Genomic DNA, 16,247 nt, shown 5'->3' on the forward strand with positions numbered 1-16,247 from the left:
TCTTACTTAATTGGTTCTTACAACTGTGTTGCTAGTGATTTAGCATAATAGTGAAATGAATTAGAATGCTTTAAACTTGCTCACCTGAATGATCAGTGAGAGAGTGTTTTGCTTCATATATTTTTTTCTTATAAAACACTAAGTGACCAGGATTTTTTGCTATATAGAGGTAACATCATTTTTAATTTGTGGTTTGTATCTTTTCCATAAAAATGATGCCCTTCTTGATATTCCAGTTACTAAAGTAATTTTCCTAATGTCACCCAGTTATAAACCCCTCTTGCTTTGCACATGGTTTTTTTCTCTCTCTTTGATACTCATGACATTTCCCATTGTATTCGGCTTTCTGTTGCATTAATTGTGTGTAATTTTGTTCACCAGGGATACTGTACATAATCTATTAGAATAATTTATTTTGCTTATTTTTGAAGTAATTTGTTAAGGATAAAAACATGCTCTGCCAGTAGTCTCTGCCAGTTCTAAACCCAGGAGCTTAGACGTCTTTGATTGCTTGGTTCAAAGGATTGTTTCTTATCATGGAAGGCCTGCCAAATAACCAGATATTCTAGCCCCTTCTTTCTGGCTAATGACTTTTAAGGACTAGAGTCTGCCATTTGTATTGTGAAGCCAAATATTACTCATGAAGCAGACACAGGCTTTGTTATTATAGTCTATACCCCTGCCTTTCAGTAGGAGCACCCCCTTCTCCAGGAGATAATTAGCAATTAAAGAAAAGTTACAGCACTTTGAGAGGCCAAGGTGGGTAGATTGCCTGAGCTTGGGATTTCCAGACCAGCCTGGGCAACATGCCGAAACCCTGTCTCCACTAAAAATACAAAAATTAGCTGGGCATGTTGGCACATGCCTGTAATCCCAATTACTTGGGAGGCTGAGGCACGAGAATTGCTTGAGCCCGGGAGGCGGAGGTTGCAGTGAGCCGAGATCGCGCCGCTGCACTGCAGACTGGGAGACAGAGGGAGACTCTGTCTAGAAGAAAAAAAAAAGTTAGTCTATCCTGACAACTTGGATTCACATATAAGTATTTTACTCGAAGGTGGCTTAAGAATTTCACTCCAACTTTCAGTGGAAAAATTCATTCCCCTTCACCTCAGCAGTAAAATCTGTGAAGGATATGGTTTTCATCATTGGCCACTTTTAATAACACATATAACTGAGGTCATTTTATGAAAAAAAAACCCTTCTAGATTTATTAATCCAGATTTGTACTTTGAAACTTTAATTCTTAAAACTAAGCCATCCTACTTTTTTCAATTAATAAAAGTGAGATTCTGGTACAGTCCAAGAGTGCTCACAGAAGAGCAACATAAAGCATTAAATGTATAAAAATTTATAAATACATTTATATATGAAGAAAAATTTGTCTTCTAAATTCCTCAGAACAGATATCTATGATGTTGTGAAAACATAATTTTTAATATGTTTACTCAACCAAACATATCCTGTGTTTCTTCACCTGAAAATGAAGAGAATAACAAGAATACATAATTCAAGGGTTTTGTGAGGAATAAATAACGTAAATCCAATAAGTACTAACCACAGTGCTAAGCATATAATACTCATTTAATAATGGTTCATTATTATAATGTTGGCTTTCGAATAAGTTAATAGTCCCAGAGTCAGTTTTTTACTTCTATTATTGCTAAAAACACCTTTCTGGTGAGAGGCGTATAGTCATTCATAGCTATCTTTATACTCCTTTGTACAGACCAAATTTATAAAGCTTGATCAACATGACAAATATAATCTCAATTAAATGTATATTTCCTTTTTCCTAAAAAATTCAGTTGCATATTCATCCCATTATATTGATTGCATATTTGTGTTGTCTATTGTTGATGCTAAAAAATGTATGAGACATTTTTGTATAAGTTATAAATGTATAAGTTTGGTGCCCAAATTTATGAGACTTCAATTTACTGGAAGACAAATTCATATTAAAAGCGAACATAATACAAAGCAGAGCATGATACATGAGCCAAGAGTGGTGCAAAGTGCTCTGAAAGTTCAGAAGAGGGAGCCATCACTTCAGTCGGGGAAATCAGAAAACATTGAAGAAATGAGGTGGTGTGTGGGTCCTTTAAGAAGAATTTAGATTTCAACAGGATGAGATGGAGGCAAATGGACATTACAGGGAGAGAGAAGAGCATGAGAAAAATAAAGGGTCGGCAAGTGCCAGTACCATTATGGGAAGTTAGTGGTCCAATTTTGCCCTAGAGGGAGGGAATGGGAACATGAAGATAAAAAGGCACATGAGAGAGTAGAGCCAAGAAATCCTTAATTGCTAAGAAATTCAAACTTTCTCTAGAGGTGGTAGAGAGTTAACTGAAACAGTAAGAAAGATCCATGATCAGAACAGTGAGATTGAGAAATCAAGGTGATTGCTTTGGATGCAATTGTAGCCATCCTTGCAGGAGGCATAAAAGTGCTGAGAGAAGGTACTGCCAAGAAGGGTATAATGGACAGGGGTCAGGAAGGGCCAAGTAACTCCACATGAAGAAAGAAAAGAGAAGGCCCAAAGATTTAATTCTTCCTGGAGGATTGGGAGAAAAGCAAAGATATTATCCAAAATAGGGAGATCTCAAAACCCACCACACATGCACTTGCCTAAGGACATTTGCATTGACCTTTCTTTTTGCCTAGACTGTTTTCCCTCCGGATATTCAAATATGGCTCACTTCCTTACCTACTTTAAATCGTTTTTAAAAATTTCACTTTATCAATGAGGGGTATCCTGGACATCAGATTTAAACTGTATCCTGTACCATTCCCACACCCTGTCCACCATTTCTGATGCCCCTTAATTAGCTCTACTTTTTCTTTTTCCCATATCATTTATCACCTTCTAAAATACTGGATAATTTTCTTACTCATTCTTTTTACTGTTTATTTCCCTTTCCCCTCTCCTATTTTTTTATTCATGGGTGTATCCCAGGTACCTAAAAGATGACAGAGTATGTGCTCAATAAATATTGATTGAACAAAGTATTGTTTATAAGTGTTTCTTAGAAGATACATTTTAACAAACAAAAGCTATTGTTAGGGTACAGAGAACAAGATCCCAAAGTATGGGGCTTTGGCATTCTGAGCATATTAGAATTAGAAGGCCTTAGGGGCTGCCTCAGCAAAAACATTCTAATCTTTTATTTCTTCTTCCCTCAAGGGCAGGAATAGGCTCTCTCTGGCATTTCCTTATCTGACAAAGGAAACTTCTTTTTAAAAGAAAGGCAATTGTCTTAAGACCCCCTCCCTAGGAATATCATCAAATAACTAGAAAAGATTAACCACTGGAGAAGAGAAGAGACGAAAAGCTATCACCATGCTGAGAGAGACTTTTCAATCACTCTTCTGAGGGCAGCTTCAAGAGATCATCTGAGAGACTTTATCTACATAATAAGAAAACCTTTGTTCACAGTATAGCTCTGCCCCTCACCTTCCCATAACTTGCTGTCCCATTCAGTTTCCTAAAAGAATAATTTACAAGATAACATCTACCTCTTGGATTTATTCAATTCCACTAAAAATCATTTAGAACCCCTCAAATTGTCTATATTTTCCCTTCTCCTTTTCTCTTATGAAGAGGGTATATAAGCCTCATCTACTGTGTATTCTTTGAGTTTCATATTTTATATGGCTTCCATGCTTATGCACATTAACAAATGTCTATGAATTTTCTCCTATTGTTTCTTGTCAGTCATTGCAGTGAACCTTCAGAGAGCAGCAGAGGGAGGGGCATTTTCCTTCTACCCTACAGTTCTAAACTGTACTTGTTATATGTATGTTTGTAGAAGGTATTGTTGGTGTTTCTGGAACATGATTTGTTCATTAAAGCATTTTAAATGTTTTGAAACCACCTTTGCAAAATTATGACTGAGACAGTGAAAGAGATCTAACCTAACTGACACCATCTTGCTTCTAACATTTAAGCCTTCCTGGGTGTAAGCTGAACTAACTTTGGGAGGTACTTAGTTTATAGTTTAAAACAAAGATAACAGTGCTTTCCCAAAACAAACCTCCTTCTATCTTGGGGATTAGACTACTAACATCAGCTGCAAGATTAGAAATTACAGTTTAGGAGTCATGCAGTTGGAGGCTACAAGATTCTGACCCTCCCTAGACTGCTCCTAAGATCAGCACTTGAGATATTTTGGAGACCCTACACTTGATGGATCAACTGGCACCACCAGATCAATAAACTGGCTCATCTGATCTTGTGACCCTCATCCAGGAACTGATTCCGCAATAAGACAGTAACGCCCTATGATTCAATCTCCAACCCAACCAATCAGCACTCCCTGACTCACTGCCCTTCCCCGCCCACCAAATTGTCTTTAAAAACTCTGATCCCTGAATGCTCTGGCAGACTGATTTGAGTAATAACAAAACTCCAGTCTCCCGCACAGCAGGCCCTCTTTCTATATCGCAATTCCCTTGTCTTGATAAATAGGCTCTGTCTAGGCAGCAGGCAAGGTGAACCCATTGTGCAGTTGCAGTCTTTCCTTACAGTCTTGTTTATAATACTTCAAAAATAGAGGTACAATTTGCATAGGAAACGTAAAATATAACTTATTTCTGTTTAAATGTTTGTATTACTAATTGACAAAGTTTAAAGTGATGGAAAGTTATCGTAAGAAGAATAGCATTTCTGAATAAGGAATAGAATTCCAGTTTGTGTTATTGATGTTTTCACTCTCTGGTGAGCATGTGAAAAACTCATTTTGTTATCACTCAGCCTCTAGAGATACTTAATTTAAGCCCAAAAGATACTTTCTTTAACAATGTCCTTCATTATACTTTAGATGCCAATCCCTGAAGAACATTCTTATTATAACTCTTCAGGAAAATGCAGATCGAGAACTGCCGTCATGACCCATAAAACTGGCATAGACTTATAGAAAATTCTTGGACAAATATATTCCTGCTAAGAAAGTATTTTCCTGAATGATTCTGCTAATCAGTTACCATTCAATTTGTAATAAATATATATAAAATAACTAAGATATTTCCAGCTTAAACTAATTTCATTTACAGTTGATTTATAGGGCAGTATTGTGATCTCAATTTAATATTTTATTTCAGAAATTATTCTCAGAATGTTCAGAATTTTTTAAAAAAGCTTTCCCTTGAGAATCACTGTGACCTCAAGGACAGTAAAAAATTATAGATACAACTATGATTTTATTTTTGAATATGATATATCATTTTTGGAATCTGGACTTGATGGAATACAATGAGGTAGAATGGTGAACCAGGTCTTTTCTAGAGGGCTTTAATTTTTACAGCAAGTGAAAATTAAGCAGCCTAACATCTAAACTAAGTTTCATTTTTTCTCCTTGTTTCTAACTGTTCTTTTCCTTGGTATTTTCTTTGTTTCTCTGATATCACAATGAAACTAAATTAATAACAAATGAAATATATTGAAGAAATCCTCAACGGATGAATGGATAGACAAAACATTGCATACCTGTACAATGGAACACTATTTAGTCATAAAAAGAAATGGAATATTGATTGGTGTTACACAGGGACGAATCTTAAAAACATATGCCAAGAAAAAAAAGCCAGACACAAAAGGCCACATTCTGGGTGATTCCATTTGTATGAAATGTTCAAAATAAGCAAATATATGGAGACAGAAAACAGATTAGCAGCTACTAGGAGCAAAGGGGAGAAAGGAATGAAGAGTGACTACTAATGGGCACTGGATTTCTTGCTGAGATGCAGGAAATGTCCTGGAATTATAGTGGTGATAGTTTCACAGCTTTGAAAATATCCTAAAATCCACTGAATTGTACATCTTGAAAAGATGTGTATTTTTTGGTATTGGGTGAAATGTTATATCAATTCAGTAATTTTGTTTGATTGTATTATTCAAGTCTTTTATATCCCTATTGGTTTCTTATCCTCTATTTATTAGATTATTTCATTTCCATTATTTTATTATTTATTTATTTCTCAAGACAGAGTCTTGCTTCGTCACCCAGGCTGGAATACAGTGGAGCAATCTGCAACTTCCGCCTCCTGGGTTCAAGCAATTCTCCTGACTCAGCCTCCCAAGTAGCTGCGATTACGGGCATGCACCACCACATGTGGATACTTTTTTTTTCTTTTGTATTTTTAGTAGAGACTGGGTTTCACTATGTTGGCCAGGCTGGTCTTGAACTCCTGACCTCAAGTAATTTGCCTGCCTCGGGGATTACAGGCGTGAGCCACTGTGCCCAGCCTCATTTCCATTCTTTAAAAATTCTCATGTATATATCTGTACCTTTTTTTGATTTCATTGGTTTTTGCTTCATATATTTTGATGCTCTGTTTTCAGGTGCATTCATATTTAGGATTATTACATCTTCTTGACGAATTGAACCTCTTTATTTTTATTTACTTATTTATTTGTTTTTTCTTGAGCTGGAGTCTCACTCTGTCACCCAGGCTGGAGTGCAGTGGCACAAACTAAGCTCACCACAACCTCCGCTTCCTGGGTTCAAGCGATTCTTCTGCCTCAGCCTCCCGAGACTGGGATTACAGGTGTGCACCATAATGCCTAGCTAAATTTTTTTGTATTTTTAGTAGAACGAGGTTTTGCCATGTTGGCCAGGCTGGTCTCGAACTCCTGACCTCAAGTGATCTGCCTGCCTCGGCCTCCCAAAGTGTTGGGATTACAGGCGTGAGCCACTGCACCTGGCCAAACCCTCTTTATTTCCAAAGAAAATTACGCCTGGCACATTTTAATCAAATTGTTGAAAACTGGCAACAAAGAAAATATTAAAATATTAAAAGCAGCCAGTACTGATAAGAATGTTCACAGACCTTTTGTCAGAAACTATGTAGTTCCTCTTTATCTCTGGCAATACTTCCTGTCCTTGTCCTTGTCTACTTTGATATTAATGTAGCCAATCCTGCTTTGTAATTTATGTTTATATGTTATATTATTTTCATTCCTTTTAACCCATCTGTGTTGTTATATTAAAAATGCACTTCTAGTATACAGCTGCCCTTTTAAACCAATCTAACAATCTCTGTTTTTTATGTATTTATTTATTATTTATTATTATTTTTGACAAGAATCTTACTGTGTCACCCAGGCTGGAGTGCAGTGATGTGATCTCGGTTCACTGCAACCTCCACCTCCTGGGTTCAAGCAATTCCCATGCCTCAGCCTCCTGAGTAGCTGGGATTACAGGCGCCTGCTATCATGCCTGGCTAATTTTTGTATTTTTAGTAGAGACGGGGTTTCGCCATCTTGCCCAAGCTAGTCTTGATCTCCTAACCTCAAGTGATCTGCCCTCCTCAGCCCTCGAAGTGCTGGGATTACAGGAGTCAGCTACCGTGCCTGGCACATCTGCTTTTTTATTGGTGTGTTTAGACTATTTCCATTTTACATAATTAAAATTTTATAACATCTTTTTTCCTGCTGTTTGTTTCATTTGTTGTTTTCTCTTCCATTTTTGACTTTTTTTTGAATTTACTAGTTATTTTAAGTATTCTATTTTATTTCCACAATTGGGTTTATTAGTTTATGTCTTATATTTACTTCATTAAAATTTGCTCTAGGGAAGTGGTAATGAAAGTTTTTAATTAAAAAAATGAGAAAATAAGTATTTTATATTTACCTGTGAATTTACCATTTCTGACATTCTTCCTTCCCATGTAGATCAGGGCAACACACAAGAAAGTGTGCCACCTGCTTTTGTAAATAACTTTTATGGAATGCAAACTCATTCATTCATTCACATATTGTAGGCTGTGGTCTGAATGTTTGTGTCCCTCAAAAACTCATGTGTTGAAATCCTAACCCTCCAAGTGATGGTATTTGGAGATGGGGTCCTAGGGAGGTGATTAGTTCATGAGGGCTCTGCCTGTATCAGTAGAATTAATGCCCTTGTACAAGAAGTCTGAGAGAGACTTCTAGTGCTTTCTGTCTGCCATGCGGGACATCATCTATGAATAGGAAATAGGTCCTCATCAGATACCACATCTATTGGCACTTTGATCTTGGACTTCTCGACCTCTAGAACTGTGAGAAATAAATTTCTGTTGTTTAATAGCCACCCAGTCTATGAGATTTCTATTGTACCAGCATAATACAGACTAAGATATTGTATACAGCTACTTTCATGCCACTATGGCAGAGTTGAGTACTTGCAGCAGAATCTGTGCAGCCCATAAAACCTACTTTTTAACTATTTACTGATTCTATATGGAAAATGTTTGCCGAACCCTGGTGTAGATTCAAGCTTTCAATTTATTTATTTACTAATTTTTTTGCCAAAGAACATCTCTTAACAATTTGGACTGTAGGCCTACTGGTAATGATTTCTCCCAGCGCAGACCTACAATGGTGTAGGCCCAGGCCAGTAGTTTTCTGCCTTCTCCTTAGCATAGAGGACATCTTCTCTTCTCTTTCCCCACCTGCAGTAGATTTTAAGCTGTGGGGATAACAGTCTTTGCTACCCTTCCTTTGTAGTCCTAAGGCTTTTGTTCCACAGGGAAGAAGGATCTGGACAGGGTTGCTTGACTTACCTGCTTTTATTGATGCCCAATCTTGATCTTTGATTACCATGTAGAAATCTGCAGAAAAGATCCTGCGAGGGGGTGCAAACTCTCCTTGAGTCTGTGGATGCAGGAGTTCTAGTCTCTCACACTCACCTGCATGTGTGGCCTTTAGTACCTTGCTAAAACTTTTAGCTTACCCGCTTGTATGCTGGTTCATATATCTCCTGTGTTCTGCTCCTGATGAGTCAGTTCTCATGCCCAAGCATTTCTTGGAAGTGCCTGACTTTCCTTAGATTTTTAGTCTAGTTGATTTTGTGGAACTTTAACTCTTCAATTGGTTCATTAAACAGTATGTTTTTGTAGATTTTATACAAAATAGCCACCTGGTCTATGATATTTCTGTTATAGCAGCATTCTATAGGCTAAAAGGATACAAACTCCCTTTGCGTCAATGGGTCCCAGGAGTTCCTCTGAAGTTCCTGTGGATCCTAGGAGTGTCTCAGAACTCCAGAGGACCTCCTGGGACCCAGAGATACAAGGGGAGTTTGCACCCCCAGTAGGCTCTTTTCTGCAGATTTCCACATGGTAATCAAAGACCAGGATGGGGTATCAATGAAGTCAGGTCAAGTCAGGCAGCCCTGTCCAGATCCTTCTCCCCTGTGGAATAAAAGCCTTAGGACTACAAAGGAAGAACAGGAAAGACTGTTATCTTCGGGCTTCTTTTTGTTAGGGCTAAAGCAAAGTTCTTTCCAGATGTCGACCACCTAAGCACAAGCAAGAAGCCCAATTATTTCTTCATATGTGTTTTTTCCATTCTCCTCCTTTTCTCTAGTCCTTCTAGGACTCTAATGACATGCATGCTAGAAAATGTAGTATCTTTTCCCAGGTCATTGCTTTACTCTTTTATTTTTTTCTCTCCGAACTTGATTTTGGGTAGTTTCTGTTATTTTATAGTTCCCTGATCTTTTGTTCTACAGTGTCTAATCTATCTGTCCTGTTCCTTGAGATTTTTGTTTTTGGTACTTCCTGTTTTCTTAATTTTCCATTTTTCTTGTTTTTATTCTATCTGTTTTCACACAGTTATAGTCATGTGCTGCACAGCAATGTTTTGATCAATGACTAAGCAAGTATATGACAGTGGTCTCACAACATTATAATGGAGCTGAAAAATTCCTATCACCTAGTAATGTTGTAGCTATCTTACCATTGTAGATCAATTGCTTTGTTATTTTATAAATTTAGTGTAGCCTAGGTGTACAATGTTTATAAAGTCTAAAGTAGTGTACAATAATGTCTGAGGCCTTCACATTCACTCACCACTCACTCACTGACTCACCCAGAGCAACTTCCAGTCATCCAAGCTCCATTCTTGTAAGTGCCCTGTATGTATAGGTATATCATTTTTTAAATCTTTTAGACTGTATTTTTACTGTACCTTATCTTTTTTTTTTTTTTTTTTTTTTGAGACGGAGTTTTGCTCTTGTTGCCCAAGCTGAAGTGCAATGGTGCAATCTTGGCCTCTGCACTGCAACATCCACCTCCCGGGTTTAAGCGATTCTCCTGCCTCAGCCTCCCAAGTAGTTGGGATTACAGGTGTGTGCCACCATGCCAGGCTAATTTTTTGTATTTTTAATAGAAATGGGGTTTCACCATGTTAGCCAGGCTGGTCTCGAACTCCTGACCTCAGGTGATAAACCCACCTCGGCCTCCCATAGTGTTGGGATTACAGGTGTGAGCCACCACATCTGGCCTACTGTACCTTATCTATGCTTAGATATGTTTAGATACACAAATACTTACCATTGTGTTATAATTGCCTATACTATTGAGTATTACAGTAACATGCTGTAAATGTTTATAGCCTAGAAACAATAGGTTATACCATTAGCCTAGATGTGTCATAGGCTATATCATCTAGGTTTCTGTATGCACACTCTATAATGTTTGCACAACAATGAGGTCTAATGGTGCATTTCTTAGGATGTATTCCTGTCAATAAGTAATGTATGACTGTACCTTCTTTTATTAAAAAGTCAGGTTTATTAAAATATAATTTATATACAATTAATCTTATTCTTTCAACATGCTCAGTTCAGTAAGTTTTGACAAAGGTATATAATCATGTAATTGCCACCACAATCAAGAAACATTTTCACAAATTAAGAATGCTCTTAAGTCCACCAAAGTCCAAAGCGATTTAATCACCTTGCAAAGTTTTTTCCTGCTCCATTGCAACAAATTCCCTATCTCTACCTCTGGCCCTTGGCAACCTCTGATCTGTTTTCTGTCCCCATAATTTTGCATTTTCTGTCACTTTAAGTACAGGGGATAATGTTGTGTGTAATCTTATGTGTCTGGCTTCTTTCACTCAATGCTTTGGTGATTCTTGTTACGACATGTATTAGTGATTCATTTCCTTTAATTGCTGAGTAATACAATAGGTATTTGAATGTCCTTGTCTGCTAATTTCATCATCTCTGTGATTCCCAAATCTCTTTTTATTTACTGATTTTTTTTTTCTTCCTGGAAATGGGTCACATATTCCTTCTTTTGTTGCCTGAGTGGTAATTTCCAATTGGATCTCAGACATCGTAAATGTTGTCCATATGTATAATGTGTTGTATTTACTTAGATAGCCACTATTGGCCTTCTGCCCTGAAGGGAATTACAGTTCTGGCATAGCCGTTTCATTTAAAGCCTTTTTAAGGACATGTATGTTGTAGTCTTTACACTAGGGCTAATTTAGCTCCCCCACTACATTACTGTTGTTTAGGGTCTCTACTTTAAGCTCCATGTATTTGGCAAGGTCTCTCCATTCTGGCTTGTGAGGCCTTGGATGAGTCCAAGCCTTGTGTGAGCCCTTGGAATTGTTTGGCTTATAGCTCTCCAGAATATTTTCTTTTCCTGAAAATTGTTCTTCACCTGCCTATTTTACCCTCGGAGTGAACAACTTAGTATTTGGCCAAAGACTCCAAAGGTCCACAGATGTATGGAGATTTTTCTCTGTGTAGTTCCTTCCTCTTATTACTCTGTGCTGTAAGTTCCCACCTTATTAGCATCTCCATCTCCTCTACTCACTGAGAGACCATCAGGTTCTCTTTGCATCCCACTTCCTTGTCTAAAAATTGCTTAGAAGTAGAAATATGGGGTAATCAAAAGAATGATTTCATTTTTTTCTCTTTCTTTTAGGGATTTTAGTTAAGTAGTACTTACAGTTTAATGGCTGCAAAGAGTGATTTCATATGCATTTGCCCAGTTTTCTAATTGTTTATGGTGTAAGACACCCCTCCTGACCTGTGACAGAAGTCCTTTATGATGTTTTTTGATAAGCAGAATTTCTTATTTTTAATATAGTTAATATCACTCTTTTTCTTCATGATTTTTGCTTCCTATGTCGTATATAAGATACTCTGTTTTCTTCTAAAGGTTTTAAAGTTTTGTCTTTCACATGTATGTGCCTATCACTCTAATATTGATTTCTATGTGAGGTATCGATTCCTTATTTTTTCACTATAGATTACCAATTATCCTACCACTATTTCTTGAACAGTCAATCCTTTACTTGCCATTCTGCAATGCTGGCTTGGCTGTGTATCAGATTTCTGCGTGTACCTGTGACTATTTCTTAACTTACCAGTCTATTGCATTTGTTTCTTTATCTACTAATCTATCCTATTCCTTCACCACATTGATTTAATTACTGAATTTTATATTGAAGTCTTGCATCATGTAGGGGAAGTCCTTTTGTTTTCTTTCATTAGTGTCTTAGAAATGCTTTAATCTTTATTCTTCCACATTTTAGAATTACTATCAAATTCCATAAAATATAGTGTTGAAATCCCATTTGGAATTGCATTTTGGGTACATTGCTTTTTTTTTTTTAACTAATTTTTATATCAATAAACATGGTATGCTTTGCCATATATCTAACTCTTCTGTAATATATTTTTTTCACAGTTACATACAGGTCTTGTACATGTTTTGTTTGATTATTCCTGGGTAGTATATCTCTTTGTCACTCCTAAAAATGACATCATTTAAAATTTATTTTCCAATTGTTTTCAGCTAATGCACAAAATATTCATTATGCTTTTTATCCTATATGCAGAAACCTTGCACTTATTAATTCTAATATTTTATGTTTACTTTTTCTGAGCTTCCTGTAGACAATTATATCATTTTTAAATGATTACAGCATTGTGTATACATTGACAATTCTTATGATGGTTTTTCTTATTCCATTTCTAGAACTTCTAGTATAGTGTTGTAGTGAAGTATTGATAGTGGGCATCCTTGCATTCCTCATATTTTAAAGGAAATGTTCTTAAGACTCAACACTGAGTTTAAAATTCGTTGTAGAATTTTCATCATTTTTATTGAAGCAGAACATATATTAAGAGAAGTTCTCAAGTGATAATTGTACAGGTGGATAATGTTTACGATATGAACACATACTTGAAAGTATCACTCTTTATAATTATTTTTGTTTCTGAGTCCATAAATTGATCCCATCGAGTTCATGAATATATTCTTCTAAAAGCTTTATTATTTTACTTATTACATATAGACTCACAATCTTTCTGATATTAATTTGTTATGGTGTGATGTACAGTTTATTTTCATTTTTCCCACATGAACATATAAATTATCCAGCACCATTTATTGGAAAGACTCTATTCCTTCCCTACTATCTGCACTGTCAATTTTTGCCATATTTCGAGTGGTCATGTATTTATGGATTTGTTTCTAAACGCTTCATTCTGTTCCATTGATTCATTTGTCATTTTGCTTGGACACCACATTGTTGTAATTACTACAACTTTATGAAGAGTCTTAATATCCTCTAGAATACTTCCCTCCAGCCCCCAGATAGTCTGGGCTATTCTTACCTTTTTCAGAGAATCAGGTTGTCAGTTTCTACAAGTATCTGTGCTAGGGTTTTGATGGGAATTTTCCTGAATTTATGAAGCAATTTGGAGAAAATTAATTTTCACAGATTGCTATTGTGAACAGTGCTGTGATGAACATACTAGTGCATGTTTCTTTTTGTTAGAATAATTTGTTTTCCTTTGGGTATATACCCAGTAATGGTATTGCTGGATCGAATGATAGTTCTGTTTTAAGTTCTCTGAGAAATCACCAAACTGTGTTCTACAGAGGGTGAACTAATTTACATTCCCACCAGCAGGCCATAAGAGTTTCCTTTTCTCCACAACCTCATCATCATCTGTTATTGTTTGAGTTTTAAATAATAGCCATTCTGATTTGTAGGAGATAGTATTTCATTGTGGTTTTGATTTACATCTCTATAATGATTAGTGATGTTGAGCATCTTTTCAGATATTTGTTGGCTGCATGTACATCTTCTTTTGAGAAGTGTCTCTTCTTATCCTTTGCCCATTTTAAAGATGGGATTATTTGTTTCTTTCTTGTTAAGTTCCTTATAGATTCTGGATATTATACCTTTGTCAGATGCATCGCTTAAGAATATTTTCTTTCATTCTGTAGGCTATTTACTCTGTTGATAGTTTCTTTTGCTGTACAGAAGCTCTTTAATTAGGGCCCACTTGTTGATTTTTTTGTTGCAATTGCTCATGGGGACTTAATCATAAATTTTTTGCCCAGGCCAATGTCCTGAATGGTATTTGCTAGGTTTTCTTCTGGAATTTTTGTAATTTGAGGCCTGACATTTAAATCTTTAATCCATCTTCAGTTAATTTTTGTATGTGGTAAGAGGAAGGGGTCCAGTTTTACTCTTCTGCATATGGCTAGCCCGTTATCCCAGTGTACTCCCACCACTCACTATATACAAAATTGGGAGTCTTTTTCCCATTGCTTGGTATTGTTGACTTTGTTGAAGATCAGACGGTTTTAGGTGTGCAACTTTATTTCTGTGTTCTCTGTTATTCGATTATTTTGGATTAATTCTTTGCATGCAATCATATAATTTACCAACTATGACAGTTTTATTGCTTTCTTTCTAATCTTATTTCTTTCTAATCTAATCTTTCTAATCTTATCTTTCTAATCTAATCTTTTCTAATCTTTCTTTGTAATCCCTTTTCTTGTTTTATCATGCTGATTAGGTCCTCCAATGCAATGTTAAAGTGATAAAATGTGTCATTACTCATCTCAGTGAAAAGCTTTCAATATTTTACCATTAAATATTGGATAGGTATTTTGTACATTTTATCTAAGGTTGTTTACTTTTATTCCATGTTTTTGTAACATAACACATTGAATTTTATCAAGTACGTTATACATTTATTGAGACATTTAACTTTTCTTGTTTGTTTTGTAAATGGAGTATATTATACTCATTGATTTTTCAGTGTTAAACCAAACATATATTGTTTGATGGTAATGTGTATATGTAATTTATTTGTGAATTTGAGGAAGTTTTTATCAGTGTTCCTGCCTTGGTGTGACTTTATTTATCCTGCTGAGTTTGAACCACATTTCTGGAATCCTTACCTTCATATCTTTTATCAGTTTGGAGAAAATCTTTTTATTATCACTTTATACATTCTTTTCCACATATTCTCCTTTCTTCTTGGACTTCAGTTATACATGTTAGACTTTTAATCATGTCTCATATATCTCATATTCTTTACTCTTTCTCTCATATTTTGTCTTCCAATGCTTCAGACTTAATATTTTCTTATGACTTTCTTCTATCACTTACTCTTCCCTAAGTTGTTTTTAATCTATAATGGAACCCAACAATTTAGTCACAATATCTGTTATTGAATTTTATAACTCTTGAATTTCAATTTTTCTTTTACAGTTATTATTTGCTAAAAATTTTTTATTTATTCACAGTTTCTTGGCCACATTAGTAACAGTTTTTATAAAATCTATGTGTCTTAACTCTAATAACTAGGTTCTCTATGATTTTTTTACAGATTTGTTTTTTCCTTTTAATTTTTCTGAGTTATAATTATTTTGTAATTGTGGTTATTTTTGATTGAATGCTGGGAATTTGTATGAAAACTTTTAGGATAATTTGGATCTGTGACTCATGTTATCTTTTTCTAAGGAATATTTACTTCTATTTCTGGTAGGTACTTAGGATAGAGGTAGACCACCTAATCCAGAGACTGGGCTTTTTTGTAAATGCTGATCTCCTTTTTGGGTATAGTCTTTCCACAATTTCAAATGAAAGTCAGAGATGTTTACAAAAAGCCCTCCTTGGCATGTCCTAAAATCAATTTTTTGTCTCTCCAGCCCATGAAATTTAAAAATCTCTGTTCAGATTCTCAGTCACTCTGCAGGGACTTTCATATGTACAATTGCCTCAAGGGGAATAACTGAGCCACACATCTGGCCTGCCTAAGTGGTATTTATTTACCCCTGAATTTTAGCTACTCACATTCTTACTGCCTTGTTAGCTTTTTGATACTTGTAAACAGATGTTTGTAAATATTGTTTTCATCTTTTTTGGTTATTTTTATCAGAAAGGATTAGTTTGAAAGAAGCTTATCTGCCTGATATTCCATTAACATGCTGCAGGTTTTTAATTTCATTACATTTTCTTCTCTCTCTCTCTATGTCTCACTCACTCTCTCTCTCTCTCTCTCTGTGTGTGTGTGTGTGTGTGTGTGTGTGTGTATAGGTAGACCTTGAAGATATTGTGGATTCAGTTCCAGACCACAGCAATAAAAGTGAATATTGCAATAAAGTCACACAATATTTTTGTTTTCCCAGTACAAATAAAAGTCATGTTTACACTGTAG

The 16,247-nt window shown here is 35.7% G+C and overlaps 1 annotated feature.

The window, feature by feature from the left end:
- Positions 4,250-4,450: a silencer, noted in NCBI's record as "peak5264 fragment used in MPRA reporter construct". NCBI's record gives its function as "represses an SCP1 promoter by STARR-seq MPRAs in K562 erythroleukemia cells {active_cell/tissue: K562}" and the evidence as "EXISTENCE:reporter gene assay evidence [ECO:0000049][PMID:32103011]".

Source organism: Homo sapiens, chromosome 5 (genome assembly GCF_000001405.40).
Source record: "Homo sapiens chromosome 5, GRCh38.p14 Primary Assembly".
Taxonomy (NCBI): domain Eukaryota; kingdom Metazoa; phylum Chordata; class Mammalia; order Primates; family Hominidae; genus Homo; species Homo sapiens.